The sequence below is a fragment of the Homo sapiens genome, chromosome 18 (genome assembly GCF_000001405.40).
Source record: "Homo sapiens chromosome 18, GRCh38.p14 Primary Assembly".
Classification (NCBI taxonomy): domain Eukaryota; kingdom Metazoa; phylum Chordata; class Mammalia; order Primates; family Hominidae; genus Homo; species Homo sapiens.
Window position 1 is genome coordinate 79,534,844 of NC_000018.10, and position 7,792 is coordinate 79,542,635.

Sequence of the window (7,792 nt, forward strand, 5' to 3'; positions counted from 1 at the left end):
GTTTATGTCTTTGGTAGTCGATGTCCTTTAGAATGTGTTTATGTCTTTGGTAGTCGATGTCCTTTAGAATGTGTTTATGTCTTTGGTAGTCGATGTCCTTTAGAATGTGTTTATGTCTTTGGTAGTCGATGTCCTTTAGAATGTGTTTATGTCTTTGGTAGTTGATGTCCTTTAGAATGTGTCCATTTCATCCAGCTGGATAACATATCAGCATAAAGGTGTCTGCGGGTCCTTTGCTATCCTCCAGCATGCGCAGAACCAGATGGCGTCCCCTCTCTCGCTCGTGACCTGGGCCATGTGCGTCGTCTCTTTTTTCCTGACCATTCTGGTGGGAAGTTTATCAATTTTGTTGATCCTTTCAAAGAACCGGCTTCTGATTGCAAATATCATAAACTCTGATATTTATTATTTTTTTACATTTGCTTACTTGGAATTTCATTTTCATTATCTAGATTTTTAAGGTAAACTCTGAGGTCATCGATCTGAAACTTTCTTCTCTTCTGATATAGGCACGTAGTGTTATAAGGTGCCCTTCATACTGCTTTAGCTCCATCCCACAAATGTGGTTTGTTTTCACTTTATTAAATTCAAAATCCTTTCTAATTTCCACTTGACTGCTTCTTCGACCTACTGAGAAGTGTTGAGTTTTCAAATATTTGGGAATTTCCAGGTTTTCTAACTTAATTCCATTATTGTTCAGAGAATGCACTTTATATGATTTTGGTTTTTATATGCATTAAGACTTGTTTCATGGTCCAGAATGGAGGCTGTCTTGCTAACGTTCCCGAGTGCATGATAAAAATCTGTCTTCTGTATTACTGGGTGGAGTGTTCTTAGAATTTCAGTGAAGTCAAGCTGCCCGGTGCTGGTGTTCAGGCCTTTCAGCTCCTGACTGACTTTCCATCTCCTCATTATATCAATCACTATTAAGAGAGAAGAGAGCGGCGTTTTGGCCTCAGACTTTAATTTATGGGTTTCTTTCTCCTCGTAGCCCCGTCAGGTTTTCTTCTGTGTATTTTGAAGGTTGGTGATTTGGAATCGTTGAGAGCTCCAAGTTCATCAACTCCTTTATCATGAATTTTCTCCCCTTGTCGCTGGTAATACTCTGCTATAAGATCTGCCTGGTCTGATATTGATCAAGCTTTTGATTAGGGTGCATCGGAGACATTTATTCATTTTCAAACCTTTAACCCGACTATAGACTGAACATTTCAAATTTGAAATTCTAAAATCCAAAATGCCCCCAAATCTGAAACTTTCTGCTCCAAGGAAATGCTTGTTGGATCATTTTAGATTTCAGATGTTTTGGCTTTGGGATGTTCAACTAGTGTAATGCAAATATTCCAAAACCAGAAAATATCTGAAATTCAGAACAGTTCTGGTCCTAAGCATTTGGGGTAAGGGAAACTCAGCCTGGATATCTTTATATACAAAGTGGGTTTCTTGCAGGCATCTAGTCTGGTCTTACTTGTTGTATAATCTCATCATCTCTGCCTCCGAGAGGGGTGTTTTAGACTATTGCACTTAATCTAATTATTGATCATGTTAGATTTAGAGCTATGCTCTTCTTGTTTTTCATTTGATCCAATACCTGTTTCCCCTTTCCTGCCTTCTTTTGGATTACGTCAAGTATTTTTATGATACCCCTTTTTCTCCTTTGTTGGTGTCTGAGCTATGTCTCTATATCCCTATGTCTCTATATCTCTATGTCTTTATATCTCTATCTCTCTATCTATATCTCTCTATATATATCTCTCTATCTCTATGTCTCTCTATCTCTCTATATCTCTATCTCTCTATATCATCTCTCTATCTCTATCTGTATCTCTATCTCTCTATCTCTCTATATCACTATCTCTCTCTCTATCTCTCCCTATCTCTCTCTATCTCTATCTCTCTCTGTCTCTATCTCTATCTCTCTATCTCTATCTCTCTATCTCTCTATATCTCTATCTCTCTCTATCTCTATCTCTCTATCTCTATATCTATATCATCTCTCTCTATCTCTCTATCTCTCTCTCTATATCTCTATATCTATATCATCTCTCTCTGTCTCTATCTCTCTATATCGCTGTATCATTTCTCTATCTCTATATATCACTATATTTCTATCTCTCTCTATCTCTCTATCTCTCTGTCTCTCTCTCTCTCTCTCTCTCTGTATCTCTCTATCTCTTTGTTGTGATACTTTAGTGGTTGCTTTAGAGTTCACAGGTAACCTCTTTGGCTTATCCACAGCCTACCTTTGAGTGCTGTCACTACAGGGTGAATAGGATAAGAACCTCCCAAATGCAGACCTCCACCTCCCTGTACCCAGCTTTCATGCAATTGTTATCAAACGTCTTGCATCTGTGTATGTTATAAATCCACAATGCATTCTTAATATTTTGCTTGAAATAGTCAATTATCTTTTAAAGAGATTAAGTAATAAAAAAAATTACAAACATTTCACGCTTATCCCTTCCCAGCACTGCTCACTGTTTTCTGAAGATCAAGATTTCCACTCAGTTTACTTTTCCTGAAGGACTTCCTTTAACGTTCGTGTAGTACAGCTCTGGGGGTGGTAAATCATTTTGACTTTTGCATATGTGAATCAGCCTTTACTTTGTCTGTTTTCTTTTTAATTTTTTTATTTTAAAATAATTATAGATTCATAAGAAGTTGCCAGAAAAAAAAAGTAGTACAGACAGGTCCTGTTGGAACTTCATGTGTCTCCCCAAAGTGGAAACTGGCATTGGTACCACTTACAGGGCGTATGTGGATCTCACTAGCTTTACATGCATGTATTTGTGGGTGTGTATAGTTCTATGCAACTTTTTCCTCAAATGTATTTCATGTAACCACCACCAAAGTCAGGATACAGAATATTCCATTATGAGATTTCCTGCCCCTCTGGAGCCAAGCCTGTACCCTTCCTCCATCCCCAGCACCCTACAACGAGTCATGTGCTCTCCATATTTACAATTTACATCTTAGACCTGCAGTCAGTCTGCAGCCTTTGAGACTGGCTTTTCCTCACTCAGCATAGCTCTCCTGCCACCCACCTGTCACCTGCGTCTGGCGTTTGCTCCTTTATTTCGTGGCATGGACGTACCACAGTTTGTTTCATGGCGTGGACGTACCACAGTCTGTTTCACCATCCAGTCACCGAAGGACATTTGAGTTCTTCTCTTCTTCCCCACATTTTGGCTATTATGACTGAAGCTGCTGTGGACACTGGTGGTGTACAGGGTTTTGGTGAATGCACATTTTTGTTTCTCTGGGATAAAGGCCCAAGAGTGCAGTTGCTGAGTCATATGTAAGTACATGCTTAGCTTTTCTTAAAACTACCAAACAATTTTCCAGAGTTGCTTTATCATTTCACGTTCCCACCAGCAATGCAGGAGTGACTGGTTTTATTTTAGCCGTTCTGACGGGTGTGCGGTAAGACTTTATCACGGCCTAAGCTTGCACCTCCCTAACGGCTGATGATGCCGGACGCCTTCGCGCACCATTTGCCGTCTCTGGATCTGGACACATCTGGAGCTGGTGAACCTCTCCTGGGGCCTTCTGTCTGTTTGTTTTTTACTGCCAGGTTTTGAGAGTCCTTATACATCCTAGGTGCAAGCCCTTTGTCAGATACATTTCTCCCCATCTGCAGTTTGTCTTTTCAGTCTCTTAAAAGGATCTTTAGGAAAGAAAAACTTCAATTTCAATGTGGTCCAATTTTTTATTTTTCCTTTTTCGAGTCGTGCATTTGGTGTCAAGCCTAAGAAGTTTTCACCCAGCCTCAGGTCCGGAAGAGTTTCTCCTGGACCTTATTCTACAAGTTCTGTAGTCCTGAGCTTTAAGTTTGTGATCCATTTTGAGTTATTTTTTGTAGAAGATGTAAAACTCAGCCCGAGGGTCCCTTTTCCCTGTGCGTGTCATGTCCAGTTGCTCCAGCTCTGTTTGCAGAACAGCCACGTGTGTGCTTTGGGCAAGGTGGTGCGGCTCTCAGCGAGGCTCTCTACCCTATTTCCTTGGCCTCCGTGCCTGTCTGTCCCCAGTACCACCCGGTCAGCGTCACCGTTGCCATGGAGGTCGTGAAATCTAGTGCCGCGATTTCTCTCACTTTATTCTTTTCCAAAATTATCTTAGCTATTCTAGGCCCTGTGTCTTTCCCTATAAATTTTGGAATGGGTATGTCTATATCTACAAAAGCACCTTGCCGGGATGTTGGTGGGAACTGTATTTAACCCGTAGACCAATCTGAGGAGCACTGGCACGTTTACTGTCTCACATCTTCCAGTCCACAAACATGGTACATCTCATATATGTAGCTCTCAAGAAAAGTTTTTCCATCAGCTTTTAAAATTTTCAGCATACAGATACTCCACGTGTTTTGTTAGGTTTGTATCTTAGATTTCATTCTCTTTGGACCAAGCGTAAACGGTGTGTTGTTAATTTAGATTTCCGCGTGTGTAGTGTTAGTACATAGACATGCGATTGACTTTTGTTGGTTGACATTTATCCTGTGAGCTTGCGAATTCACTTATAAGTCCTAGTTTTGCTGTAGATTCCTTGGTTTTCTGTGTAGACAATCACGTCATCTACAAATAAGGCCATTTCTTCCATCTTAATCTGTATGCCCGTCCTTCCCTTCCTTTCTTTTTGTAGTTTTCAACAAACATGGAAAAATGTCAGCCATTCTGTTCCAATATCCTGCCCCCTCCTCCAGCAGCTGCAGCTGCACATGTGTTAAGCTGCTTGACACTGGCCCGCGGTTCATGAACAGTCTGCATTTCAGACCTTTCCTCTGTTTTTATTTTACATCGTCGCTAGTGCCACGTCTTCAAATTTACTGGCTTTTTCCTTCTGCACCGTCTCATCTGCCATGGAGCCTGCCCACTACACCTCTCAACTCCAGTGCTGCAGCTTTCCACTCCTGAAGTTTGGTTTGGGAATTTTTATGCCTTCCATTCTCAGCCTCCCCTCTGACTCCCTGAATGCGGGAAGATTGTCGTAGTAAGTGTTCTACTGTCTTGTGGCTAACTCTTCATCTGCTCCGTTCACCGTTGGTTTAACTGATTCAATTTTCTTCTTCTAGGTTGTACTCTCCTGCTTCTTTGAATGCTGCTAATTTCTGATCAGATGCTAGACATTGTGAGTTCTGCCTCATTCTCTTGAGCTTTGGAAGGTGTTGATCTTGAGCTTTGGAAGGTGTTGATCTGGAGCTTTGGAAGGTGTTGATCTTGAGCTTTGGAAGATGTTGATCCTTTTGGGTCATCCTTGCTTTTTGGCTTCATCAGGTGGGACCTGAGCAGTGTTTAGTCTCCAACTAATTTTTCACACTGTGAAGACAAAGCCCTTCTCAGGACACTGCCTGGTGCCTTGCGAGTGTTTCCACTGTGGACAGCGGGATGAGGGCTACTCCCGGCTCTGAGTGAGACCCCATGTTGCTCCCCGAAGCCTCTTGGGCTGGTCAACCCTTGACTGAAGACTCGGGGCTCCCCTTGCAGATCCCAGAGCCCTCCCTCCGGGCAGCTCTCCTCGCTGGAGATCCAGCCTGAGACCTCCAGCCTCTGTTTCCTCCTTGGACTTGGCTCCTTCTCCTCAGCCCTGCCTGGGGCCTCTCCCTGCACTGGGGCTGGAACCCACGCCCGCCGTGCACTGGGCCCCACCTTGTTTGCCCGCCCTCCTCAGGGACCACGGTCTCTCGGTGCCTGGTGTCTGATGCCTAACACAGGTTTCAGATATTCTGTCCATTTTTTAACTTGTTTTCATGGAAGAGTAAATCTGGTCCCTGTTAGTCCTTCTTGGCTGAAAGCGTAAGTTCTGATGCTGATGTCTCAGAGCTTCCTTGGCCAAATTTGAGTCAGTGCAGTAGTCAATCTTCCATTGTCCCTGCATTTTACACCATACAACAATAATGCTATTCAAATAAAAACTGCGTGTCTAGCCAAGAGAGAGGCTTGTGATCACCAGCTCTGCCTCAGGGCCTCCTGTAACTTTAATCGGAAGGGAAAGCACCAGAGGTTGAAAAACAGCTTTGGCTGCCAAATGTGCCTTTACCTGGAGGAAAAACAAAAGAATCCTGGGGAAGACAGAGGAGGTTTTCACAGTTTTTAAAACAGCAATAGGGAAACAAAAATGTATCCATGTCCAGCTGGCGTGGGAATCCCCCACTCCTCCCACACAGTTCGGGGTGTCGGGGTGGCTGTCAGTGTCCTGGGAGCTCCCCTCTTCCCTTCCGCCGCCTCCACCCAGCCGCACTGCACTTTCTCATCCTGATGTCCCCACACGCTGCTGCCTGGCTCGGCCACTGCCTCTCCAAGGCTACACTGCTTTGCAGGGAGGGCCACTACCAGCCACCTCCCGCAGCATGGAACCTGGAGACTGACCACGGAACTGCCTGTGTGTGTCTACCCAGAAAATGAGGGTCGCTGAATTCACGGATGGTTCTAATTTTTGTGTCTTCATGGACTGTACCTGGAAACCTTATTAACTGAGACTACCTTAATTTGGAATTTGGAATAATTGGAACTTAACGATGATTTGGCTGGATTCAAGTTTACCTTCTGACTTTCTAGTGAGAAGGGGGTTTGCCAAGCAATTTAATCTCTTAAAACAAGAATGCAAGTGTTTCCTCATGGGAGCATTTTAAAGACTTTCAGAATACTCATTGTTTGCATGCAAATAAGGCTGCTAATTATGAGATTTTTTTTCCTTTTCATTGGAGGTCCCAGCAGGACCTGACTTGAAAATGTGCTATTAGCAATTAGTTCTTGTAATGACATAGACTTGAAAGAAATAAAGGAAAAATTTTTTAAAAACCCTCTAATATAGACTTTTCACAAATTTAGACACCACTTAATCTAGATTATAACAGCTAATGTCTGTAGCTCAACTATGGTTGTCAGAGTATTTTTCAAATGTGTGCTACCTCATTTGATCCTCAAAGCTGCTCTGAGAGGGAAACGAGGCATGTCACATACCCAGTCTACAGGTGAAGGCACTGACAGGGTTAAGGTGCGGGCTGCAGGACCTTCTCACTGTGTTAATAGGTTGTTCCATCCATCCATCCATCCACCCATCCATCTACCCATCCATCCACCCACCCATCCACCCACCCATCTATCCATCCACCCACCCACCACCCACCCATCCATCCATCCATCCATCCATCCCTTCATCCATTATCCATCCATGTCCATCCACCCACCCATCCATCCATTCATTCATCCCTTCATCCATCCATCCACCCACCCACCCATTCATCCAGTTATCCTTCCCTTCATCCATTTATTCACCCACCAACCCATCTATCCATTATCCATCCAACATCCATCCATCCACCCCCATCTATCCACTCATTCATTCATCCCTTCATCAATCCATCCACCCACCCACCCATCTATCCATCCATCCCCCTACCCATTTATCCATTATCCATCCCTTATCCATCCATCCACCCACTCATTCATCCATTATTCATCCATCCATCCATTCTTCTACCCATCCATGTACCCACTCACCCACCCATTCATCCATTATCCATTTAGCCACATTCATCTATTAACTCATCCATCCACCGATTATTTATGCACCCACCCACCCATCCATTCATTCATCCACCCATTCACCCATCCATCATCCATCTATCATTCCACCACTCATCCACCCACCCATCACCATCCATCCATTTCCATTTATCCACCATCCATCCATCCATCTGTCCACTCATTCATCCACCATCCATCCATTCATTCATTTATTCATCGATCTGTCCACCCACCCACCCATTATCCATCCATGTATTTACCCACCCAGC